We start from the raw sequence: 27667 nt of genomic DNA, 5'->3' as shown, positions 1-27667 counted from the left end.
GCTTCTGTTTTATTACTTTTATATCAATTTCACTGATTTTTAATATCATATTTAGCTTCTTGAATCTAGAGTTAGATTGTTCTGACTCAGAATGCTATCCATTAAATTCCCAGTTTATTTTTGTTTGTATTATTTCATCATTCTGCTGTTTCACTTGTATCTTTCTAAACTCAGATTTTTAATTTGAACCCCCGGAAAATCTGATGAAAGCAATAGATCCTTTACTGAAGAATGCATATACATACAAAATTTTATATACAATTTCAATGAATTTCTGGATTTTGTGGGTAGAGCTAAATTTACTATATTGACTTTGTTTTATGCAATTTGAAATTGTATTCTTTCAATTATAGGGATTTAGAATCTGCAAATTTGACAGCCAATCAGCATTCAGATGTTATCTGTCAATCAGAACCTGACGACAGCTTTCCAAGTAAGGATAATCTTTAACATTGACAGTTTAGTTCTTGCTAAATAAAATAGTTTTATCAACATAATTCTTTGTAATGTCTTCTCTTTGTCTCTCTTATTAATAATTTCATGTAGTAGAGGAACATACTAAAATCTTTATCTGTGGCCTATGCCAAAAAGTAAACATGGTTTCTTCCTAAATTATATAATTACGTTTTCAAATTGGGTGGTAGTGATTACTTGATTATGATATATACATATCATATGTGTGTATTCACAAGAAAATCTGTATTGATTTCATAGACTATTTTGCTTGTCAGTTTTTAAAGGGAACAAAGATTGTTTTTGCCACTTATTTCGCATAACCCAAATACTTTTTGCTCATAGTTATGTTAGATGTATACATAGTTACTAGTCTTTATTGAATTAATCAGGTATCTAAATACAAAATATTAACAAACAGAGGGATATGTCCTTCTAATATTGTCTGCTTGAATAAGTGACTAGTCAAATCTGAACTTGAAAGCTTTCAGTGTGCATTGTTTTTTCCTTTACCACTTTGTCTTAATTTCTGGGTTTTTGTTTGTTTAAGAGACAGTGTCTTGCTCTGGCGACCAGGCTGGAATGCAGTGATAGGACCATAGCTCACTGCGGCTTCAAACTCCTGGGCTCAAGTGATATCCTCCCTCCTCAGCCTCCTGAGTAGCAAGGACTTGTAGTCCTGCACATGCCAACATGCCTGGCTTTTTTTACTCTTAATTTTTTAATTTTTTATTTTTTGGTAGAAACAGGATCTCACTATATGTTGCCCAGACTGGTCTCGACCTCCTGGTCTCCCGGTCTCAAGCAATCCTCCTGCCTTAGCCTCCCAAAATTCTGGGATTACAGGCTTGAGCCACCACACCTGGCCTGTCTTAATTTCTACTTCTGCATTTTGGGACCTAGAATCTAGGTCATGTTTCTCTGTTGTTGTTGTTTTTTTTTTTTTCTACCTAACTCCTACCCTGCTATGATCCAAAGAATCATTTTATGAGATGTATTCTCTTTCCATCTCAATAATAAGCATGAAAATTAACACACATTTCTTGGTAGGCATGTAAGTGCCTGCAGGCATTATTATTTAATTCTTTTGTTTGTTTGTTTGTTTGTTTTGTTTTTTTTTGAGACAGAGTCTTGCTCTGTCTCCCAGGCTGGAGTGTGGCTAGCGCGATCTCTGCTCACTGCAAGCTCCGCCTCCCGGGTTCAGGGCATTCTCCTGCCTCAGCCTCCCAATAGCTGGGACTACAGGCACCCGCCACCACACCCGGCTAATTTTTTTATATATATTTTTAGTAGAGACGGGGTTTCACTGTGTTAGCCAGTATGGTCTCGATCTCCTGACCTCATGATCCGCCCGCCTCGGGCTCCCAAAGTGCTGGGATTACAGGCACAGGCCATTGCGCCCGTCCGCATTATTATTTAATTCTAACAACACTCCTGTGAGATGAATTATTCTGTCTCCTTTAAACAATGGGAAACTGAGGCTTTGATGGATGGATATCATATAATTTGTCCATAGTTACTTAGCTGTTAACTGATGACAAAGCAAGACAGATTCAAGTGCAGGCTTTTTGAGTTTTTGTACATACTTTACATTTATTTTCTTCATTCTCTCTGTTTTAAAACTCTCCTTATTTTAAAATGCTAACAACTTCGTGATAACGTTTTGGCCTGGTGTATGATTACTTGAACTACTATTAGGAAACCAATTTAGTTCAGATGACAAATCACTTGGAGACAGTATAATTTGTAATTATACTTTATACTTTTTAAATCTCTTTTTCCTTTTAAAATGATTCATTATTTTTAAAGTACACTGTAATATGTGTCATAATATCCAGTTGAATAGCTTTCACTATACCTTTATTCCCTACTCCCTGAGGTAAGATTTAACAGTTTAGTGTGATTCCTTCAATCACTTCATCTTTATACAAACATATATACCTATATATAAACAATATGACTCTTCTCTTTCTCTTAAATTTTTACCAAAATGAAATCACACTATAATAAATAGTTGCTTTCTTCAACAATATATTATAGATCTTTTTTTCTGGGCTAATTCATATGACTCAAATTCATTATAGTTGCATAATAATAATGTTATGCTTTTTTCATTTTTCATTTAATAGATGTTGAGATCGTTACCAGTTTTTTGCTCTTACAAATAATACTTTAATAAACATCCTTGAATATATGTACTTCCATGTTTTTACTTCTCCACAATAAACTAAAAGTGAGGTCGATGTATCTAAGGTTATGCACATTTTTTAATAGATGCTGCCAGATTATTTACCAAAGGTCATAGAAATTTATATCCAAATAGCAGTGTAGGAGAATATACTTTACTCACACCTTCACAGTATTGGAAGTTAACACTATATGTAATTTTTGACAGTTAAGCAGGTGAAAGGTGTTTTCTTACTTAATTTTCCTGGCTACTTGGAAACTTGAAAATCTTACTATATATTTACAAACGTTTTTAATTCCCTCTTCCTCAGATTTTCTGCTCTTACTCTTTATCTGATTTTCTGTTGAATTATATTTTTGTCAGTTTGTGGGCAACCATGTATGTTTTACACATTTTCTTATTTGACTACTTTTATGGTTTCTGCCATTATTTCCATCTCATGTTGTAATGGCCAATATTAATTACTAAATTAGATTTATTGAAATTATACCATGCCAGCTTGAGATGTCCATTCAAGTCCTCTTGACTTGGATTTTTATACCACTTATTAGCAATATTGAGGATATGTTTGTGTATGATGCTTTATAAAATAAATTATAAAAACATAATGTACTGTTATGTATAATAGAATGTAAGCTAAAGTGATTACAAAATACACATTTTTAAAGTCTTAAGTTCTTCTTTTTAGAAAGCATTTTGTAACCTTAATGCTATGACTACTACTTTTGCTTTCTTGTTAGAGTAAAATCCTATTTTTGATGTTCATTTGGTCATTCTATTAAATTTCATAAGTTTACTATTTTATCCATCTCCGCTTTTATTTCCTCTACACTGTATTTTTTCAACATGATAAAAACTTTCATACATGGTAGAATTAAAACAGTTGTACAATGAATACTCAAATAACTACCAGCTAGACTCTCCAATAACTATTTTACTTTGTGTGCTCTGTCACGTGTATTTATTTCTACATATCTCTTTTTTTTTTTTTTTTTTCTTTTGAGATGGAGTCTCGCTTCGTCCTCCAGGCTGGAGTTCAGTGGCACGGTCTCGGCTCATTGCAGCCTCCACCTCCTGAGTTCAAGCTTCTCCTGCCTCAGCCTCCCAAGTAGCTGGGATTACAGGTGCCCACCACCACGCCCAGCTAATTTTTGTATTTTTAGTAGAGACACAGTTTCACCATGTTGGCCAGGCTGGTCTCGAACTCCTGACCTTAGATAATCTGCCCGCCTCGGCCTCCTAAAGTGCTGGGATTACAGGTGCAAGCCACCGTGCCTGGCCTATGTGCCTCTTCATTCATTAATTTATATTTTTTATACATTTCAAAGTAAGTTGCAGACATAAGTACATTTTCTAAACACTGTGGTATGAACATAATTAGCTAGAGTTTAGTAGTTATTTAGAGTTTTTTATTTTTGAGGTAAAATTAGCAGTGAAATGGACAACTTTCCATTTTATGAACCACTCCATGAGTTTTGACTAATACATAAACGTGTAACCCAAATCCCTCTAGATTTGCTGTTCTAGAACTTTGAAAAAATTGAATCATATGTACTCTTTTTGTATATACTATATGTTTTTGAGAGTTAATCACATTGTTGCATATATCATTAGTTTGTTTCCTTTTTAATGCCTAGTCACATGATATGCGGTAGACATTTTTTCTTTAGATAGGAATTTCTAGTTGTTATGACATCATTTGTTTCCTTTTTCCTATTAGATGGCTTCAATGTCTTTGTCAAAAATCAAGCGAGTATAAATGTGGGCTTATGTCTAGGCTTCCCATTCAATGCTTACTAGTATAGTGTGAAGTATGCATTTTCCTCACACTAAATTTTCAGTTATTGCAGCACCATTTGCATTCTCCTTGCATTGCTTTGCTGCTTTAGTAAAAAATCAAAATACAATGTAAATGTGGGTTTATTTCCAGGCTCTCTATTTAATTTAATTCAGTTGATCTATTTTTCAATCCTGATGCCAGTACCGTGTTGTCTTAAATTACTGTAAGTTTATAGTAAGTCTTGAAGTCATGTACATGGTTCTCCAACTTTGTTATTTTTTAAAATGTTATTTAATATTCTAGATTTTCTGCACTTCCACATAAGTGATAGCATCTGCTTTGCAATCTCTACAATAAAGCCTCTGCTATTTGTTTGTTTGTTGTTGTTTTGAGGCAGAGTCTCATTCTGTTGCCCAGGCTGGAGTGCAATGGCACAATCTCAGCTCACTGCAGCCTCCACCTCCTGGGTTCAAGTGATTCTCATGCCTCAGCCTGCTGAGTAGCTGGGATTACAGGCATCTGCACCACACTTGGCTAATTTTTGTATTTGTAGTAGAGATGGGGTTTCACCATTTTGGCCAGGCTGGTCTCTAACTCCTGATCTCAAGTGATCTGCCCACCTCAGTCCTCCGAAGTGTTGGGATTATAGGCGTGAGCCACTGTGCCCACCCCAGCCTCTGCTATTTTCGAAGGATTATGCTGAATTTACAGATTAATTTGGAGAGAATTGATATCTTAACAATATTGAGCCTTCTAAATCATGAATGTGGCATATCTCACCATTTATTTATATTTTCTTCAGTTTCTCTCAGCAACGCTCCATTGTTTTCAGTTCTACAATGAAGTTGTAATGGACTTAATTTTTTTGCCTTTTCCTTTTTATAGGCTCTGGATCAGTATCATTATACGAGGTAGAAAGATGTCAACAGCTATCTGCTACAAGTAAGACTATGTATCATTTTTGAGATGGGCACAGTAATGAGCATAATAAAGTCTGCCTCTACACTTACCAGCTAATCCATTTCTTTCTAATAGTAGAACACATATCCTTTAAAGCTAAAATATGTCCATATTTAACTTTCTTCTTCTACCGTGTCTTGTTGGCATAAAATGGAACCCATAAAGATAACGTGTCTTTACATTGCATATTTTAAGTCATCTATCTCTAACAGACTTAATGTTTAAAACAGATATGTTTTAAACATTAAATACATGATGTATTTGAAGTCATGTATCTCTGTTAGAGTTACATGACTTAAAATGTGCAATGTAAAGACACATATCTTTAAACTATTACATGAAGAGTTATCCTGTCACATGATGCATTTAACAGTGTACCATAAAGGAGCTCCTTGCAATATGCCTCAAAATTTTAATTTAATGTTAGTAATGATAGTGTGTCTATCAAGTACCCTCCTTCTGCTACATCAGCTAAGATTAAAAAAAAATTTTCAGAAAAATATTTTTAACCACAAATTTATTAAATGTGCTATTGTAAAAATTTTAATTTCTCAAATTGGAGAAGGAAGATAACAAATGTGAATGGAAGAAGGATTGATGAAATCTTTTAATGTTGTGTTGTAATTGGAGGTACCATTATGTACTCATGTTTTCTAGGTAAATACAGAAGTCGATGTAGCTGTGTGTATGTATGATACGCATATATTCACACGTGTACACATTTGTTTATATTATAGGGGTGTGTGTGTGTGTGTGTGTGTCAGTATGAATGTGTGTTCATATGTACCCTATCTCTCTCTCCATGAAAAAGCATAGAGGCAGCAGCACTCCAGTTGCCATAAGCACACCTGGTGCTCAGATCTTGGTTTATAAATAATATTTCTCTCTAAAGGAATCAGAGCTCCTTGGTGAAACAGCAGATTTCTGAACTAGAACAAGGGAATTACAAGATTAGTATGGAGTAACCTTGTACTAGAAAGTAAGGGGGTTCTCAGTTAATGATGAAACTCGTCAAATGGCTTAGGATAGAACATGTCTAGGAACATTTGAGCATCAAAACAAATAATACTAATTGAGTAAAGCAGGAATGCATGAGCCCATGTTGATGATGATAAAGGAAAAATAAAATATATGGGGTTAAGTGGAAATATCTTTCTTAAAGTAAAATAACAAATATAAAAGGGATAATGAAATTAGAAAAAAAAAAGCTACCATTTTGTAACCATGATAGTCATTGTTGAGTTAGTTGTGAATCTGTGGATTCTAAACTATCAGGATATTTGATGAAAAATAAGATATTTACATTTTCTCTAGTATATTCTTGTTAAATACAAGGGGGAAACAGTAAGTTTTTAGTAGAGAAGTGATTGGACACTACCTTTACCAGCTGAATAAAGTTTAGGTCTACAGTAATAGAAACACTCACTTTGTATGCCCCTTGATGTGATGCACTGAGAAGCATACAGTATCACTTACGCATTATTCCTGCCAAAAATGCATAAGCTAAATCTGAGCCTGAGGAATAACCAGACAACACCCAAATTGGTGTTTATTCTACAGAATAAATGGCTGTACTCTTCAAATATATCAGTGTTGTGAAAGATAAAGAAAAGCCGAGGACTTATTTTACATTAAAGAAGTCTAAAGAGACATGAGAATTAAATGTGATACATGGTCCAGAATTGGATCTTAGACTTGAAAATAAAATGAATGCTAAGAAGAACATTTTGAGGACAATTGTAGAAATTTGAGTAATGTTTGTTAATTAATTCGATTATAGTAATAAATCAGTTAAATGTTCTAATGTTGAAAATTGCCTGTAATTATGTCAATAAAATGTCTTCTTTTGAAATACATACTGGAGGATTTAGAGGAAAGGAGGCATAATGTCTGGTAGTTATTCTCAAATGATTCAATAATATTTATGTGGTGAGAGACAGATAAAGACAGGCACAGTGACAATGATAAATGTGCAAAAATGTTAACAATTGGTGAATCTTGGTGAATATTATACAGAAGGTCTTTGTATTGTTTTTGCAATTTTCCTTAAGTTTGAAAGCATTTTAAAATGAAAAGTTAAAAACTTTAGGTTAAAATATGAGTTTGAAGCAATTGCTCTTATCACTGTGTAGCAATGTACACTAAATTGATCAGGTCTGCCAATGGCCTTTTTTTTTTTTTTTTTTTTTTTGAGGCGGAGTCTCGCTGTCGCCCAGGCTGGAGTGCAGTGGCACTATCTTGGCTCACTGCAAGCTCTGCCTTCCGGGTTCACGCCATTCTCCTGCCTCAGCCTCCCGAGTAGCTGGGACTACAGGTGCCCGCCACCACACCGGCTAATTTTTTGTATTTTTAGTAGAGACGGGGTTTCACCGTGTTAGCCAGGATGGTCTCGCTCTCTTGACCTCGTGATCTACCCGCCTCGGCCTCCCAAAGTGCTGGGATTACAGGCGTGAGCCACCGCGCCCGGTGCCAATGGCCTTTTTAAAAGCATCACCAGCTGGGTGCAGTGGCTCACGCCCGTAATCCCAGCACTTTGGGAGGCCGAGGCGGGCAGATCACCTGAGGACGGGAGTTCGAAGCCAGCCTGACCAACATGGAGAAACCCCGTTTCTACTAGAAGTACAAAAATTAGCTGGGCGTGGTGGTGCATGCCTGTAATCCCAGCTACTTAGGAGGCTGAGGCAGGAGAATCGCTTGAACCTGGGAGGTAGAGGTTGTGGTGAGCAGAGATCGCACCATTGCACTCCAGCCTGGGCAACAAGAGGGAAACTCCGTCTCCGAAAAAAAAAAAAAAAAACCACAATCGCCACCACAACAAAATGTTCCACTGTAATAAATGTTCCACTCTGATGTAATAAATGTTCCACTCTGATAAAGGCAAGTGAGAAATAATAAATGATGAATATATTTGGGCAGACTCATTTGTCACAGAAGTATCTTAAATATAAACTTTATTAACTGAAATATTTGAAAAGAGGTGTAATTACTTGAAATATCTAATTAAGTGATACAGAGAGCCTTGTTGGTAAACTTCTGTCCTTCTTGGCCATTTGCTCCTTGAAGGAAAACTAATTCAACAAGAATTTCATTGGATTAAAGCTCAGTACTGAAAGGAATTGTCTTCGCCATTGAGGTTAATAAGATTTGTACATCATTTCCCTTTTCTAAAACACATGAAAGTGTTAAGCTAGAATGTATAGCAAGCTGTTGCCTTAAGCTAAGGGTCACCAGCAATTTTATACTTTTTCCCAGTAAAAACTGATCACTACAATCCCAGGCCATCTTTCCACAAGTAGCTGAGGAGACCTATTGTACCTATTTCCCAGGCAATTGCTCCTAATGCTTTTGTCTGAGTTTTTTTTCCAGTTTGACTCAACTTCCTCTTATTTTTCCTCTCCCTCCTCCTCCACTCCCTCCTTCCAACTCCCCAAACTTCCTCTTCTCCACTACTACACCACTCCTGTGACAGTTAGATCACCCTTAATGTCCCTTCCTATTCTTAATCTGATTTTATAATGATGGTTCTGTAAAAAGTAACTGATTTGAAACATCCAAGAGCCTGCAAATAATATTTGCAAATAATATTTTACAAGTGTGTTTTGTTACATTCTTTTGTGGCAGACACCAGTTAGAACTTAAACGGTTGCCTAGCGTAATATTTTCTTAGCTAAATAAACCTTGCTTTTTTGAATGCTTACTAGGCAGTTAAGTTACTTATTTCTTCCCCCAAATTATCCAGCGTTTATTTAGTACACATTTGTTGAGTACCTACTGTGCCTGGCACTATGCTAGTGGGCCTTGGGTATACATCAGGGAATAAAGACATAACCCTTCCTTTCATGGAGTGACACTTAATAGAGCTTAAATTAATTAGATTTTATAGTATATATTTGGTTCAGGAGGATGCATGTCATAAATATGATTCTTGTTATTCTGATTGAATATAAAAATTCTTTACAGTACTTACAGATCATCAGTATTTGGAGAGGACACCACTATGTGCCATTTTGAAACAAAAAGCTCCTCAACAATACCGCATCCGAGCAAAATTGAGGTCATATAAGCCCAGAAGACTATTTCAGTCTGTTAAACTTCATTGCCCTAAATGTCATTTGCTGTGAGTATTTTCCATAATAAAACAAACGTTTTCATATTATTTGTGTGTATATGTACACATATGTATAATTTTGTGTCTTAGGAATAAGTAAATTGTTAATATATATATTATATTTTGCAAGAATGGTAAATTTTTTAGGTAAAGTGCTAAATTCTTAGAGAATAAATTATTCTGATAGTAATAAAAGTGGGTGCTATTTTCAGATCTAAAATTCAGCTTAGTCACTCTGATAAAGGCAAATGAGAAATAATAAATGATGAATATATTTGGGCAGACTCATTTGTCACAGAAGTATCTTCTGAAATATAAACCTTTATTAACTGAAATTTTTGAAAGGAGTTGTAATTACTTGAAATATCTAATTAAGTGATAAAGAGAGCCTTGTTGGTAAACTTCTGTCCTGCTTAATAACTAGAATATAATAAATATAATTTAAATTTTCTTTAGTAATTGAGAATTTCTCAGTGCCTTTACTCTGAACATCAGTGATTATATAAATATGTAATAAATGTATATAACTGTTTTGTAATCCTTTTACTACATAATCGGCTCAAGACATATTCTGAAAATCATTTTTAAAAGCTCCTCATCTTTTTGCAATTTGCCTACTTTTCCTCTGAATATCTAAAATGATGTTTTGGAAAATGTAGATAATTGATGGTTATATGCATTTGGATGCCCTAAATTGAGTCTTCACTAAAATGTGCTACAATGTGTAAATATCTATGTACATCGCCATGTATTTGTGTGCTTATAAATTGTGAGTATCTGTGTTCATTAATATACATATATTTTCCAATCCAAAATTTGGGTTTGTTTGAAGAAATTTTTTATTTTAAAATCTCTTTAAATAAAATGTGAGGGAACTGTTTTTACCCATTTGAGCTTGAAATGGTGGTTGGGATTAAAATGTATATATAAGGATTTTAGATAATTCTTCAAATATTATCAAACTTTGGTTTATTGAATTTTGTAAAATCATACAGCTTTGTAAAATAAAACCACTCTCCGCGATCATTTTTTAAACAAATAAGGATATTATCTCAGAAATTAACGGAAACTGTCTAAAGTTACACAGTTAACTGGCAACAGAACCAGAAGAAAGCCATACACCTTTTGATTCCAAATGATGCCATTTCTGCTACATGGTACCTAACCATATGACTTCTTAAAATTATTAATTATTAAACAGAATTGGAAATATTATTAGTTTAGAAGTGCCCTTCTCCCTAAGTGTGGTAAGTGGATATTTAACTGGAGTGAAGACGGGGCCACTGCATTTTTTTCTCCTACTGGGAAATTTAGCATTCTTTACAGAGGAGAAAAAAATTGATGCTAGAAATAATTATGAGTAACTTTGTATCACAAAACCAGGCATAGAAATCACTGGTAGTTAATGTAAATATGATTTGGATATACTTACCCACAAAATATCAAATAATTATCTATTGAAAAAAAGTTATTTGTTCTGCAAAGTGAATTATCTCCATAATTTACATAATTTAAGAAAAAGTAACTGACTCATCTACATGTAAGAATGATACTTTTTAATTTGATAACTTGTTAAATGGAAATCTTCACGCTTACACCAAAATCGATTTCTATCATTTCATTGCCAATAATTTTAGGCAAGAAGTTCCACATGAGGGCGATTTGGATATAATTTTTCAGGATGGTGCAACTAAAACCCCAGATGTCAAGCTACAAAATACATCATTATATGATTCAAAAATCTGGACCACTAAAAATCAAAAAGGACGAAAAGTAGCAGTTCATTTTGTGAAAAATAATGGTATTCTCCCGCTTTCAAATGAATGTCTACTTTTGATAGAAGGTAAGATATTTAAGTCACTGTTTTGTTAGAATACTCCTTTTGCATATTTTTCCTAATTAATTATTGTTTAATACATTTTACAGACAACCTAGTACATATAAAGTAAAAATAGTATTTAAATTTAACAAAATTGAATATATATGTTAACTAGGTTCAAATATATATAAGCACACGTTCATAAATTTATCTTAATTACATTTGAAATTGTACTTCAGACTCAAGTGTTAACATTTAACTATATTGTTGGATTGCATTTTATTTTGTCAATGCTAAGCTGATTGTCTAGTTAAGTAATAATAAAAGAGGCTGATTGCTTATGTACCATTGCTGTTTTCTTGGCCTCTGGATGTCACTGTTGTTTCATAGAAATAGGGTGAAAGTCATCTATTGTATCAAAATCAAAGAAGAGACCATTGAAACAAGTAAAGATAACTTGACAAGTTTTAAATGAAATTTATCATGTTTGGTTTTTCATTTTCTTTTCATTTTCATCTAATTTTTATCTCATTTATCTAAAATATGTACTGTGAATTTTTTTTCATGGCAAATTTAGAGTTTTTCTTAAGGCTTCTCTTCCCTTGTAACCTTTTCATTGTTTTTCTTAAGGCTTTCCTTCCCTTGAAACCTTTTCATTGTTTTTCTTAAGGCTTTCCTTCCCTTGAAACCTTTTCATTGTTTTTCTGAAGGCTTTTCTTCCCTTGAAACCTTTTGTAATAGAAGAAAAATACCTTCTTTAATTTGCCTTAGAGTAATATTTAACTTTATTTTTAATAAATGAGGGAATTCTATGTAAATTATAGACTTTGGGTGATTATGTGTCAGTATAGGTTCATTTTTAACAAATGTACCACGCTGGTAGAGGATGTTGATACTGGAGGAGGCTAGCATGTATGGTAGAAGGGGATACGGAAAATCTCTGTACCTTCCTCTTAATTTTGCTGTGAACCTAAAACTGCTCCTTAAAAAAAAAAAAAATGAAGTCTTAAAAAGAAAACATAGAATGTACAACACTGAGAGTAAACCCTAATATAGACTGGACTTTGAGTGATAATGGTTTGTTAGTAATGTAAAGTGTGGACTTTGAGTGATAATGGTTTGTTACTAATGTAAACTGTGGACTTTGAGTGATAATGGTTTTTTAAAATAGGTTTCTTGATTGACTAAATTTACCACTCTGGTGCAAGATGTTGATAATGGGGAAGAGGCTAGGGGACATAGGGAAACTTTGTACCTTTTGCTTAATTTTGCAGTGAACCTAAAACTGCTTTTTAAAAAAGGCTTATTTAAAAAAATAATGAGAATGTATGTAAAAGCACTTTGAAATGTAAAAGGAATATAAGAAATGTGAGCTATTTTTATTTTATGTTTCTAAGTATTATAACCTGGACCAAGGGCTAGGATCTTACTGCAGTATGGCACTGCTCTGGTTAGGAAGTAACAAAATCAAAAACTGACCTGGACTTAGAGATGAACCAAAGAAAACGATATAAATACAAAGTCATTCTTAGACTTTAAGGACCTGCAGCAGTATTCACTGATATTCATGCCAAGTTAATGCAGTTGACACTATTTTATTGTGACCATAGTTTACATTAGGGTTCACTCATTCTGCTTTACAGTTCTTTATGTTTTGACAAATGCAGAATACCATGTACCCACCATTAGAGTCTCATATAAAACAGTATCACTTAATTTCTGTAAAAGCTCTAAGATCTGTGTCCAGATTTTTTTTTGCATGCAGATGTCCAGTTTTCCAGTACCATTTCTTAAAAAGACTGTTCCTTCTCCATTGAATTGCCTTTGCTTCTTTGTCAAACCAGTTTGTGTGAATTTGCTTCTGTGTTCTCTATTCTGTTTTAATCTGTCTGTTATTTTCCTAATATCACACCATCCTTATTTCTAAAGCTATATAGTAATTCTTGAAATTGTGTAGTGTTTGTCCTGCAACTTTCTTCTTTTTCTTGAGTATTGTGTTGGCTATTGTAAATCTTTTGCATTTCCATGTAAACTTTATAATCAGTTTGTCAATATCCAAAAATAACTTGCTGGGATTTTTATTAAGATTGCCAGCTGGGCGCAGTGGCTCACTCTGGTAATCTTAGCACTTTGGGAGGCCGAGGCAGGCAGATCACCTGAGGTCGGGAGTTCGAGACCAGCCTGACCAACATGAAGAAACCCTGTCTCTACTAAAAATACAAAATTAGCCAGGCATCATGGTGCATACCTGTAATCCCAACTACTCGGGAGGCTGAGGCAGTAGAATGGCTTGAACCCGGGAGGCGGAGGTTGCGGTGAGCCGAGATCGCGCCATTGCACTCCAGCCTGGGTAACAAGAGCGAAACTTCATCTCAAAAAAAAAAAAGATTGCCATAATCTATAAGTCACGGTGGAGACAGAGAACTAACAACTTGATGTTATTGACGATGAACATGGACTATCTTTCTATGTAGATCTTCTTAGATCCCTTTAACTAGGGTTTTATAGTTTTACTCAGATAAACCTTATAAATCCAACAAAATATAGATCACATTTTGTTAGCTTTATATCTAAGTATTTTCTTTTTTGGTGCTAATTATTTAATGTTAAATTCAAACTTTGATTATTTATTGCTTATGTATAGGGAAGCAATTGATTTTTTTTTTAATTAACCTTGTATCCTCTACCGTTGCTATAATTGCTTGTTATTTCAGGAATTTTTTTGTTGTGATTTCCTGTAAACAAAGACAGCTTATTTCTTCCTTCCTAATATGTATACCTTTTGTTTCCTTTTCTTACTGCATTAGATAGGGCTTCCAGTACAATATTGAATAGGAGCAATGAGAGGGAATGTTCTTGCTTTTATCCCAGTCTTAGGTGGAAAGTGTCACCATTAAATGTAATTTTAGCTGTGGCTATTTTATCGATGTTCTTTATCAAGTTGAAGAAGTTCCCCAATATTCCTAGTTTGCTGAGAATTTTTATTATTAATGATGTTGGATTTTATCAAATGCTTTTTCTATTGCATCTATTAATATGATCATACAATTTTTCTTCTTTAGCCTATTAATGTGATAAATTACATTAATTGATTTTGAGGTGTTTAACCAGCCTTGCCTACCTAAAATAAATCTCATTTGGTCATGGTGAATAATTATTTTCTTTTTTGATTCAATTTTTAAATACTTTCTGAGTATTTTTTTATGTGTTTTCTTAAGAGAAGTTGATCAATAGGTCTTCATTCTTGTAATGTATTTGGTTATGTATTAGAATATTGCTGGCCTCATAAGAGTTAGGAAACATTCCCTCTACTTCCATTTTCTGGAATACATAGTAGAGAATTAGTGTCATTTCAGTGTTTGGGTAGACTTAGCTATTGAAACAATCTGAGCCTGGTGACTTTTTTCAAGATTATTATTATTGATTTAATTTCTCTATAGACATAGACCTATTCAGATTATCTGTTTCTCCTTGTGTGAGTTTTGATAGATTATGCCTTTCAAGAAATGGAACCATTTTATCTAAGGTGTCAAACTTGTGGGTTCGAATTGTTTATAATATTTATTTATTATTAACACTATATTTTAAACTGCATAACATTTAACTTCCTCTGAAACATTTTGTATTGTTTCCAATTGAATTGAATCCAATTTGTATGGAACTCTAATGTCACTGAATCATTTTATCATAATATTTATTATTAATACCTATAATTTACTGAATAGACTATGTGTCAGGCACTGTACTAGTTTAGTATTTTATCTTTAACTCTCATAACAGTTCTTCTGTAAGCTGGATATATCCCCTTTGTAAACAGAAGAGGAAACTGAGACCAAGAGAAAATGGTGAAGTACTCAAGGTTAAAGACTTAATAAATGTCAGAAAAAAATTCAAACTTAGGCCTTTCTGTCTCCATAGTCCATGTTAAATATTTCTACTGATTGCAAATAAATTGCTCTCAGTTAGGATGTCTCCAGATACAAACCTTGAGAAATGTAGTATGCACATATATACATGTAAATGTCTTTCTTTGTTCTTATTCATTTGTTTAGCACATGTTTATTGAATGCCTACTATGTGCCAGACACTGATTTAGGCATTAGTGGCAATGTAGCAAACACAACAAAGTTCTTCCTTTCATGGACTTTACATTAAGAGGAAATCACTAAAATATTGATAGTAATAGTCACTCATGGCTCTAAGTGCTTTACAAATATTAACTCATTTAATCTTTATAATGATCTTACAGAGTAACATTATTCTCAGTTTTGCAAATGGGGAAACTGTTATACCAGAGTTTAAGTAACTTGACCAAGGTTGTCCAGCTTATGTGCCAGAGCCAAACTCGTGTGACTGGCCAGTGTGAATGACTAGATGAGCTCTCACCAGATTCTTTGAAATAGTGTTTTTGGGGAGGAACTCATAGAGAAAAGAGTTAGTGAATGGTCACCTATTGCAGTTTTGAACAGTAGGCAGGAGTCTCTTCAGCAGGGCTAGGTATCAGTCTCCAAAAGATAGACTAACTTTTGGGCTGTGAAACTTTTAAGTAGCATGCTTAGGGAATATTGTTTTGAGTTTTTAAGCATGCATAATGAGAGTTTCTATCTAGCTGCAATATGATATAGCAGAACTCTGGCTTCCAGTAACAAAGAGCTTGGGGGAAGGAGGATGGGAACAGGGCAAGTTAAAATGCCACAGAGCTCACCGTTCTTGCCAAAATTCAGCCCTTTTTCTGGAGCAAACACTCCTTGGATTGTTGAAGGCCTCTGGTAATTTCCAGAATTCTAAAAAAGGTTTTACAGTTTTTGCCAATATTCTTACTGCTGTTATAGTCAAGTGTGTCTTTGGATGTCCTCACTCTGCTATACCAGAAGTGCTTCTCCTTTATAATTGAATGTTGACATTACAAATTCTACCCAAATTTTAGGAAATACACAGAGGTATTTTTTAAATCCTTTTCATTTTGCCTGGAGAGAGGAAGCATTATTAGCTAAGTAAAAAGGACACTGCCTTCTAATAATGGATGCCATTGGACAATACTTCTCAGCCAGCCTGGTCATTTGAATGCTTACTCTGTCATAGAATTAACTGTGATAATTTTCCCAGGAAAAATGAACAAATTTTATATGTGAATTCATATTACATGAACTACTCATATCTATATTTAAATGAAATATTGACCTGAAAATTGAGATTTAAACTCTAAATTTGCCCAGATATTAATTAGTATATAGCAAATTAGTGAGAATCTGATCATAACTTAGCTTTTAATTTATATTCCCTCTTTTGGTTATTTGAACCAAAGTGTTCCTGAAATAAAGAGCAATTTGTTTAAATTTAAGAAGTTGGTTAAAATTTCACAAGCTTTATATTTTACCAAAGTCTCAGCATTTTTGTGCATTGATTTTTTTAATCAATGTATAGGATTGTACATTTACAAATTAATATTTTTTACATACATTCATTGTCTTTTTCTGTCAATTCCTTTAGTCTTTTATTATACCTCACACGTTATTTAATAGGACTGTACTTGTCTACATTTTATTTGCACTACTTGAAGGATTTATTTATTCTCTTAACAGGAGGTACACTCAGTGAAATTTGCAAACTCTCGAACAAGTTTAATAGTGTAATTCCTGTGAGATCTGGCCACGAAGACCTGGAACTTTTGGACCTTTCAGCACCATTTCTTATACAAGGAACAATACATCACTATGGGTATTTTGTTTTGTTTTGTTTTGTTTTGTTTTGTTTATTATACTTTTAAGTTCTGGGGTCATGTGCTGAACATGGAGGTTTGTTACGTAGGTATACACGTGCTATTGTGGTTTGCTGCACCCATCAACCCGTCACCTGCATTAGGCATTTCTCCTAATGCTGTCCTTCCCCTAGCCTCCCACCCCCTGACAGGCCCTGGTGTGTGATGTTCCCCTCCCTGTCTCCATGTGTTCTCATTGTTCAACTCCCACTTATGAGTGAGAACATGCAGTGTTTGGTTTTCTGTTCTGGTGTTAGTTTGCTGAGAATGATGGTTTCCGGCTTTATCCATATGCCTGGCAAGGACATGAACTCATCCTTTTTTTGGCTGCATAGTATTCCATGGTGCGTATGTGCCACATTTTCTTAATCCAGTCTATCACTGATGGACATTTGGTATAGTTCCAGGTCTTTGCTATTGTGAATAGTGCTGCAATAAACGTACATGTGCATGTGTCTTTATAGCAGAATGATTTATAATCCTTTGGGTATATACCCAGTAATGGGATTGCTGGATCAAATGGTATTTCTAGTTCTAGATCCTTGAGGAGTTGCCATACCGTGTTCCACAAAGATTGAACTAATTTACACTCCCACCAACAGTGTAAAAGCATTCCTGTTTCTCCACATTGTCTCAAGCATCTGTTGTTTCCTGACTTTTTAATGATCGCCATTCTAAGTGGCGTGAGATGGTATCTCATTGTGGTTTTGATTTGCATTTCTCTAATGATCAGTGACATTGAGCTTTCTTTCATATGTTTGTTGGCTGTGTAAATGTCTCCTTTTAAGAACTGTCTGTTCATATCCTTCACCCACTTTTTGATGGGGTTGTTTTTTTCTTTTAAATTTAAGTTCTTTGTAGAGTCTAGATATTAGCCCTTTGTCAGATGGATTGCAAAAATTTCCTCCCATTCTGTAGGTTGCCTGTTTACTCTGATGATAGTTTCTTTTGCCGTGCAGAAGCTCTTTAGTTTAATTAGGTCCCATTTGTCAATTTTGGCTTTTATTGCCTTTGCTTTTGGTGTTTTAGACATGAAGTCTTTGCCCATGCCTATGTCCTGAATGGTATTGCCCAGGTTTCCTTCTAGGATTTTTATGGTTTTAGGTCTTACATTTAAGTCTTTAATCCATCTTGAGTTGATTTTTGTATAAGGTGTAAGGGGATCCAGTTTCAGTTTTCTGCATATGGCTAGCCAGTTTTCCCAACATTTATTAAATAGGGAATCCTTTCCCCATTGCTTGTTTTTGTCAGGTTTGTCAAAGATCAGATGGTTGCAGATGTGTGGTGGTGTTTTCAACTGAGAAAACTTTTGGAATTAAAAACTGTTGAAGAGTAATTTTTATTAGTTTATTTCATTGGTTACTATATGTTCAGCATGAACTTACAGTGTATCAACTTATATGTACTAGGTTTTTCTGGCATATATCTGTTCTTTTGATAAGCATATATAGTGAGAGTACACGCAATGTGTGAGGCATAAGGCTGCTGTCTTTTGATTCCTCAGCCAGAGGCTGGTACTCACTTGTTTTCTTTAACAGTGAGGATTTAGATTCCAGTTACAGAGAAAAATTCAGAGCTGCAAACCTAGTAAAAATTAAGTGATTCAATTTCAGAATTTCTGAGCCACTAAATTACAAATTTGCTGCCACTGAAAATTGGAATATAAAAGAATTCATTAGGAGCTATAAACAGATTTCTACATTTAGAAGGAGGGGGTAGGGATAAAATCTCCTCTACTGCTTGATGAAACAATCACCCTGGACACATTCTGATTTGAGAAACCTTGGATTATAACATATGTTTTATCATCCTATTCCTCTTTCTTTCCGACTTCTACATTTGTAGCAATTAGTAGTCATTGTCATAATGTGTAAATCCTGATTGAAAAATTATATACTGGTTGAAAAATATTATACGGTAAGCATGATACCTCCCTAATTGTGTGGTAAAGTCACTGTTAGGCATTGCCCTCTGTCCTTCCAACATATCATAAAATTTTAGCCATAAAGCGAAAGTGTATGCCACTGACTTAAATCTCTGTGTTATAGCTGTTTTTACTGATATACTCAGTGTCTAATTCTCCCTCTCATTAGACTCATGATCTGAGAGTCCATCTTTTTTGAAAATAAAATGATTTTTAATTAAGCCAATTAATTAAAAAATTAAAACTCATAAAATTCAGTTTTTCTTGTATAATAAGTCACTGAGCTTTCTCTTTTTGCATGCTCATCCTCGCTCACTTGCTTTTGTTCTTTCCCCTTTCTCTCTATTTTGCCTTGCCAGTACTGGGCACCGTGACGCGTCTAAACCAGGAAAGGAAATATTCATATTCATTTTAAACTCTGAAATACTACTACTTCTTTTACTAGAAGTCTCAAAAAAATTACCTTAAGGACCCCATTTTTTTTTTTTTTTTTGAGATGAAGTCTTGCTCTATTGCCCAGATAGGAGTGCAGTGGCATGATCTCAGCTCACTGCAACCTCTGCCTCCCCGGTTCAAGCGATTCTCCTGTCTCAACCCCCCCGCCGAGTAGCTGGGACTACAGGCATGCACCACTAACACCCGGCTGATTGTTTCGTATTGTTATTAGAAACGAGGTTTCACCATGTTGGCCAGGCTGGTTTTGACCTCCTGACCTTAGGTGATCTGCCCACCTCGGCCTCCCAAAGTGCTGGGATTACAGGTGTGAGCCACTGTGCCCAACCAAGGCTGTTGACTTTTTACTGGTTGCTTCAAAACTAAGGCAAATGCTGTTCACACTCCAGATTTTAAGACATTTTTACATTTTTTATTACTTGAGTTTCATCATCAAAAGCCAGTATATCTTTTAATTGATTCTTCTTTTTATTTTTGGGTTATGAAATAATTTTAACTTATAGAAAAATTAAAAAAGTAACATCACAACAATTACGTATCCACCATTTAGATTTAACAAATCGTAACGTTTTGACATTATTTCAGACTTTTTTTTTTTTTTTTTTTTTTGGAGACAGTGTCATTCTGATACCCAGGCTGAAGTGGCATGATTTCAGCTCATTGTAGCCTTGACATCCTGGGCTCAAGCAATCCTACTATCTCAGCCTCCCAACTAGCTGGGACTACAGGTGCACACCACCACACCTGGCTAATTTTTGTAGGGATGGGGTTTTGCCATGTTGCCCAGGCTGTTCTTGAACTCTGGAGTTCAAGCAATCTGCCTACCTTGGCCTCCAAACTTTTTTTTTTTTTTTTTTTTTTTATTTTTAAGAAATTAAATGTTACAGAGAAGTAGTATAATGCCATATCAATCCCTTCTCTAACTCTTTTTTCTCAGAGGTAGCTACTTTTCCAAACTTGGATTAAATCCTTCTCATCAATGTTTTTATGCCTTCATTATATGTGTGAACTCTTAAGCAGTATGGCATATTTTTCATTTTTTAAATTTATATAAACTGTTTCGTACTATGCCAAGCCTTTTGCAGCTTGCTTTTTTTGATTCATTAAAATTTTCAAGATTTACCACTATTGACGCATGTAGATTTAGATTATTTAACATCTTTGGAGTATGTTATGAAATATCAGAATTTATTAGCCTATTTTCCTATTAATGGATATGTGTTATTTTTTGTTTCATTTACAGACCATAATGAAGTCACGTTATATGTTTTCTTGTCTATTTCCCTTGTCATAAAATGAGTTCAGTGGGTCATAAACAGTTTTTTTTTAAATTATATGATGTGGTTGTAGTAAAAAATGGAATGAGAGGGAATGGATAATAGAGAACATTTTACACAGTAAGGGTCAGTGTTGTTTCCTAAACTTTCATTTCAATTGTATGTGTATGTATGTATTACTAAGATATGATATTAAATGAATTTCTTACTGTGAGTCCTTAACAAAAATGTTTGAAAGTTACTCCTAAGGTGTTTACCTGAAATTAGAATTACTGGATTATAAGGTGTATATAAGTTTTGCTTTATGGGAAGAAATACCAAATTGTTCTTCCCATGGTTTTAACAATATATGGTCCCATCAGTAATGTATAAAATTTTAGTTTCTACCAAGTTCACTCCAACACTTGGTATTAGTCTATTTCTGTCTGATACTTGGCATTAATTTTGTAATTTTGTCAGGCCAGCGAGCATCAGATGGTATCCATAATGTTTTTATTTGTATTTCCTAGATGTCTAGTGTGTTTAAGCAGCCCCCGTGTTTATCAGCTACATAGGTTTCCTACTCTATGAATTCCATGTTCACATCTTTTGCCTGTTTTTCTATGTGGTTACTGATTTCTTTGTTGGTTCATGTGTGAGCGCACATACATGTAATTGATTGTAAGGTTTCTTTCCGTGTTAGAGATACTAATCTTTGTCAGTTTCATCCATACTTCTAGTGTATTCCATGCCTTTTTAACTTTATGGTTTCTTGTGTTTTATAGGTTTTTTTAAAATTTTTGTTTGGTAATTGCTTTATAGGTTACTCTCATCCCTTTGCTTTCAAGTTTCTGGCATTCTAATTTGTATGTCACTCATAAATAAAAGCTTATGGCTAAATTTTAGTTTTAATAGTGGAGTTTAAATATGTTCTTAAGTTATTGATATATTTAGTTTATGTTTCTAATTTTTTCTGTTTCCCCTTTCACTGCTTTGGAAGTAAGTAGTTCTGTATTTAATTTTGACTTAATATCCTTAATTTTTAATTTTTATACTAACTTTAATAATGTCTAATGCTAATCAATATCGTAGTCTTTTTCTTAGGCAATAATATTCTTTTGTTAAATTGACATCTTTTATTAGAAAAGAAACACCTATATATTTAATAAATAGAAGGGTATAAGATGTAATGTGGTTACCCTCTTGTTTTCCTCAAAGTGCAAATGAAAACAAATTGCATGGACCTTTCGAACTTTTATTTTTATTCAAGTATATCTTTTCAAGTATATTTTCTTATCAACATCTCATAAACATTATGATGATGCATAATAAAAAATAAATTACTCATAGTTAAAATATGTTGGTATTCAAGTAAAGCAAAATAACTGTACTACACAATGCACAACTTTAGTGTATTGTGTAGTCTTAGATTTATATACATTTCAAAAGTTAACTATGGAATTAGGCATCATAAACTACAAACCTCTGGATATGTGCTTACTAAAAATATTAATTATCTAGAATCTTGCATGTTGTGACTGTTTAGTAATTTTTCTCTATTGGCCATATTTATTAACACTTTGAATTTATTAAGATATTACTTACAGAGGCCAGGTATGGTGGCTCACACCTGTAATCCCAGTACTTTGGGAGGCCAAGGCAGGCAGATGGCTTGAGCTCAGGAGTTGAGACCAGCCTGGGCATTGTGGCAAGACCCTGTCTCTATAAAATTACAAAAATCACCCAGGCATGGTGGTGTGCAACTGTGGTTCTAGCTACTTGGAAGGCTGAGGTGGGAGGCTCACTTGAGCCCAGGAGGCAGAGGTGACAGTGCCTGGGTGACAGAGTGAGACCTTGTCTTAAAAAATATATATATATAGATATAGATATAGATATAGATATAGATCATAGAATCAGAGAATTCTTAGAGATGATCATTTTCTTCAACTTTTCATTTTAACAAATAAGGAAATTGAGAGCAAAATTAATTAATGATTTGGACCTGGAACCGAGCACCCTGTTCTCAATTTAGAGTTGTTTATTCTGAATCTTATACTGTCTTTTTTATTGCCCTTATGTAATAAGCTTACTCTTTCATAATTCTCTTGTGAAACAAACAAGCACATTACAATATAGGGGATGCAGTATTCTTCTGTTTAATAATTTATATTTTAAAACTACACATGTTTGAGCAGTAAAAAGTTATAACAAACAAGCTAAATTATTTTTAAATATTTATGGTTCTTTCTTTTATAAATTTCAGATGTAAACAGTGTTCTAGTTTGAGATCCATACAAAATCTAAATTCCCTGGTTGATAAAACATCGTGGATTCCTTCTTCTGTGGCAGAAGGTTAGCTAAATTTCCATGCCCTGCAATTTTAACTGTTTGTTTACAAGGTTATTTCACCTACTTATATTTCAGTATACCTGAAAGTATACCTGTTCCTTCTTTGTATACTTATTCCTTCCTCTGTAAGATAAACAGACTTTGTAAATTTAAAGATATCTGCCAAGCCTTCCTTTAGTCTGTATTTCTTCAAGCAGGCACCGTCACATACTTTCCCCTATGCCTTACTATTTTGTTTTTCCTCCTCAGTAAGCATTCCACTTTACCAGTGCTTTTCTCAGAATTTGGCATTCAGAGCTGGACATTGTGCTGCAGATGTTGTTTGGCCAATTCAGAATAGAGTGAAATTATTATTTACCTGAAACTGGACACTCAGCTTCTACTAGCCTGAAATGTCATTGTATAGCTATTTATTTGTACACTTGGTTTTGTTTTCTTTCCTTTTTGATACAGCCATCTCATGTTTTATTTGTGGTCCAGTGAAATCCTAGGGTCCTGTCACATGAACTTCTTGAACTTGGTCTTCTCATTCTATTCTTAATGTAATTTTTTTTTCTGTCACATGAACTTCTTGAACTTGGTCTCTTCGTTCTATTCTTAATGTAATATCTTTGTTTTTATGGTTCCTGGGAGTAGGTGCTAAGTTCATCTTTCTTAGTTTTAGTTCACAGTTTTAACCTATTGAGACCTTTTGAAGCCTAAAATTCAGTTCCCCTGTATTAATGTCTGTTGTATGCCCTAGTTCATGTCTGTATGTCCTAATTTATTCTTACTTTCCCTGTTAATTAGTTATACTGTTTAAATATGGGTTCCACAGATAAAAGCTAATAAAACATTCTATAAATTGAGTATCTTCCATTTCCAAACAAGAAGATATTTATCTTAACCTGTGAATTTTCATTTTACCCAGTATGTCTAATTTCTTATTTCTTCCTTATCTTACCAAATTATTAAATCTCAGATTCTGACATTCTTGTCCATTCAACCAGATGATATCCCTTTTTTCTTTTTTAAAGTTATAAATTATTCCCCTAGCTTATAATAGAAAGGAGAGAGGCATGCTAAAACGGTATTTAACTGCATGCTATTTTTTAGAATATTCTGTATTTTAATTTTATCTTTCATAAAACTAACATGCAATGAGTTACATTTCATGAATCACTTTTTGTGGTTTCTATGGAGGCTATCAACTGTTTTTTTTATTTATTTATTTTTATTTATTTTGAGACAGAGCCTTACTCTGTCGCCCAGGCTGGAGTGCAGTGGTGCAATCTCGACTCACTGCAACCTCTGCCTCCCAGGTTCAAGCAATTCTCATGCCTCAGCCTCCAGAGGAGCTGGAATTACAGGTGTATGTTACCAAGCCTAGCTATTTTTTTTGGTATTTTTAGTAGAGACAGGGTTTCATCATGTTGGCCAGGCTGGTCTTGAACTCCTCAAGATCCGCCCAGGTGATCTGCCCACCTCAGCCTCCCAAAGTGCTGAGAATACAGGTGTGAGGGTGTCAACTTATTTTAAATACGTTAATATTTAATCAAAAAGATTAAATTGCTTATCATAAGATATTCTCCCTATGTAGGTATAGTGAAATATTCCAAAATGAATCTGCTAAATGAGCTTAATTATAGGTTGAGTATCTGTGGAGTTAAAAACACAAACTGTCCTCTGCTCTGCCACCACAGCAATCAGCGCAGAAGACTTATGTGACCAAATGCATAGGGGTTTTCACCCACACACCAAGCAGGCAATCCCTCAGCAGACGCCAGCTGGGTGTCCTCCAGTTCAATTCTGACACTATCTACCTGGAGATAATGCCAAGTTTTTCTTTGTATCTTGAGTTATTTTAGTAAATAAAATTTACAGGTCTATACTATCATAAAACAATTTTAACTTTACCTTGATAATAAGGAATAGCAGACTCATATGGTTTGATCTTTTTTTCCTTCACTAGCACTGGGTATTGTACCCCTCCAATATGTGTTTGTTATGACCTTTACACTTGATGATGGAACAGGAGTACTAGAAGCCTATCTCATGGATTCTGTAAGTATCAGAGGTAATAAAGATATTTTTAATTAAAAAATAATATTTAAAAAATTGAATACATTTATTCATACCTGCTTTGTTCCTAAAAGGACTTAAGGCACCTTAAAAATATAAGTAAAATATGAGCACATAAATCTTGAATCATCTGTGTATGTATCTCTTTTTTTATTTGACACTAAATCTTAACATTTGAATAGTGAAAAATTAAGGAACAGGGATTTAAAGAGTCATTCCCTATACCATGGCCAAAATGCAGAGATACGGCCACACTATGGAAGCATTATTTGTAGTCAACATTTTATCGTACTTTTGTTTGTTTGTTTGTTTGTTTGTTTGTTTTTTGAGATGGAGTCTTGCTCTGTTGCCCAGGCTGGAGTGCAGTGGCACGATCTCAGCTCACTGCAACCTCCGCCTCCCGGGTTCAAGCAGTTCTCTGCCTCAGCCTCCCAAGTAGCTGGGATTGCAGGTATGCACCACCACGCCCAGCTAATTTTTGTATTTTTGTAGAGACAGGGTTTCACCATCTTGGCCAGGCTGGTCTTGAACTCCTGACCTCATGATCCACCCACCCTTGGCCTCCCAAAGTGCTGAGATTACAGGCGTGAGCCACCGTGCCCAGCCTTGATCATACTTTTTAAACCTCCACATTTCATATTAGAGGAATGAAGTTACTTTAACAGGGAAGATAGATATTATTGTATAAAGTTTTGAGGCAGTCTACAAAACCTTCCTCATTTCTGACACTAATTGCAATTGGAAGTCCTCAAGGCCACTCTTAGATTTGATAATTCACAAGACTCCTAGAACTCACTGAAAACTGTTATACTGACAGTTACAGATTATTACAGCTAAAGGATGTACATTAAAATCAGATAATGAAAGAGATGTATAGGACAGAGTCCAGGAAAGTTCCAGACATGGAACTTATAGTTGTCCTCTCCCCATAGAGTTGTGGACTGTTACTTTCCCTGCAACAGTGTGTAGCAGTATACATAATATATTGCCAGATAGGGAAGCTCTGCTAAAAGATTTTAGTGGGACTCTATCACGTAGGTATGGTTGACTGCCCATATGGCTGATCATAGTCTTCAGCCCCTCTTGAGATCAAGCTGATACCACATGCTCCAAACTTTCCACCCTACATCATATTGTTAAACTATTCATAGTGACCCAGGGCTTCCAGGCAAAAATACTTCTATCAAGTGTGACATAGAAAGGGCTTAGAGATTACGTTCCACAAGCTAAGGTCAAAGCCCAGACCTCTCTTAGGGTAAAGTTAAAATGTTTACTACATGGATTGGAAAAGATCTGAGTTATAGTTGAGAGGAGAATTTTTCTCCCACCTACACAATTCATTTAACCTTTCATTAAATATTTAATGAGCACCTGCTATGTACTAGGTACTATCCTATGTGATGGAGACACAGCGGTGAACAAAGTAAACAAAATTCCTTCCTTCTTGAAACTTATAACATAGTAGGGAAGAGAAAAATTAAATAACTATATAATACATATACTGTATGTTATATTCATTTAAGCTTAGCACAAGATTTTTTTTTCTATGCACAAAGAGAATAGTCAGCCTCATTGTTTTTAAATCATTATTACCATCATCATTATTAAATCAGAGCAATTTACTTGATTACGTGTATCTCAAAGCTATTTTAAGATTAAAGAGTAAATAAGATTTTGGAGTTGAGACCAGCATTCTAGTTTATGAATTCTACAATCTTGATAGAGGGAAACTGTCTAGATTATCTTTTAATTGGACAATATTGAAATATGTGTTAATAATAACATTAAAAAGGATTAATATTATTTCCTTTTTTTTTCTCTCATGAAACATTTTTAAGGACAAATTCTTCCAGATTCCAGCATCAGAAGTTCTGATGGATGATGACCTTCAGAAAAGTGTGGATATGATCATGGATATGTTTTGTCCTCCAGGAATAAAAATTGGTAGGCAAGAATATTTTAACAATCCCACACTTCTTTTACTTGAGATAGCACTAACATATATGTACTCTGTGGACTTTTAGAAGTCTGAAAGCTTTGCTTCCAAATGATTTACTAAGTAGTGAGTGATTACTCTATGATCAACCTTTGATGAAGAGAGTGGCAGGGATAAAATAGTTATGAATCATAATTCCTGCAGTCAAAAGATTTTTAAAATATTTTTAAATATAGGAAAGGGAGATAGTTTTGATCACAAGCACATTTGACATTGTCATGCTACAAGCATTTTAGTTGAAATTAGACCAAAAGTGATGAATTGTTGGCAGTAAACATTTTCTGTAACAAACTCCAATTATCCAATTTAATTCATGGATTAATTTTTTTATTTATTGTTAACTAGTTTCAGATTTTACAAGCTTTTGTTTTACCAATTTTTTGTGAGCTTTGTTTTCTGCATAAACATTTGATTAATAAACCAGATCTTCCTCATTTCAAATTGTACTGCTTATACCTGCTGCCACTGAATTTTCCTTCTGTGACTATATTTGTACTTATGTTGAAACTTGCAGATCTAAGTCATATTAAGACAATTTTGATTTTTCTAACAATTTTTTATC

General features: G+C 34.2%; 1 protein-coding gene across 5 annotated transcripts in view, besides 1 other annotated feature; it reads left to right on the top strand.

Moving 5' to 3' along the window:
* The window catches only part of POT1 (protection of telomeres 1), a 107440-nt gene that overhangs the window by 77521 nt on the left and 2252 nt on the right, over positions 1-27667 (top strand). For 2 of the 5 annotated variants that reach the window (NM_001042594.2, NM_015450.3), the window contains 8 exons: positions 354-433; positions 5307-5363; positions 9342-9498; positions 11127-11332; positions 16891-17026; positions 22963-23051; positions 25000-25091; positions 26948-27053. In NM_001042594.2, coding sequence (NP_001036059.1) covers positions 354-433; positions 5307-5363; positions 9342-9498; positions 11127-11332; positions 16891-17026; positions 22963-23051; positions 25000-25091; positions 26948-27053 — 923 coding nt within the window. Of the gene's footprint in view, positions 1-353; positions 434-3645; positions 3766-5306; positions 5364-9341; positions 9499-11126; positions 11333-15088; positions 15186-16890; positions 17027-22962; positions 23052-24999; positions 25092-26947; positions 27054-27667 lie in introns of all 5 variants that reach the window. The other 3 variants (NR_003104.2, NR_003102.2, NR_003103.2) reach the window with 3 other exon arrangements.
* Positions 19368-19917: an enhancer, noted in NCBI's record as "OCT4-NANOG hESC enhancer chr7:124472442-124472991 (GRCh37/hg19 assembly coordinates)". NCBI's record gives its function as "activates a minimal SCP1, AML or CMV promoter by ChIP-STARR-seq in primed H9 embryonic stem cells {active_cell/tissue: H9 hESC(primed)}" and the evidence as "EXISTENCE:reporter gene assay evidence [ECO:0000049][PMID:30033119]".

Source organism: Homo sapiens, chromosome 7 (genome assembly GCF_000001405.40).
Source record: "Homo sapiens chromosome 7, GRCh38.p14 Primary Assembly".
Taxonomy (NCBI): Eukaryota; Metazoa; Chordata; class Mammalia; order Primates; family Hominidae; genus Homo; species Homo sapiens.
Note: the sequence above shows the minus strand (reverse complement) of the source record. Positions and strands in the feature narration are given on the sequence as shown.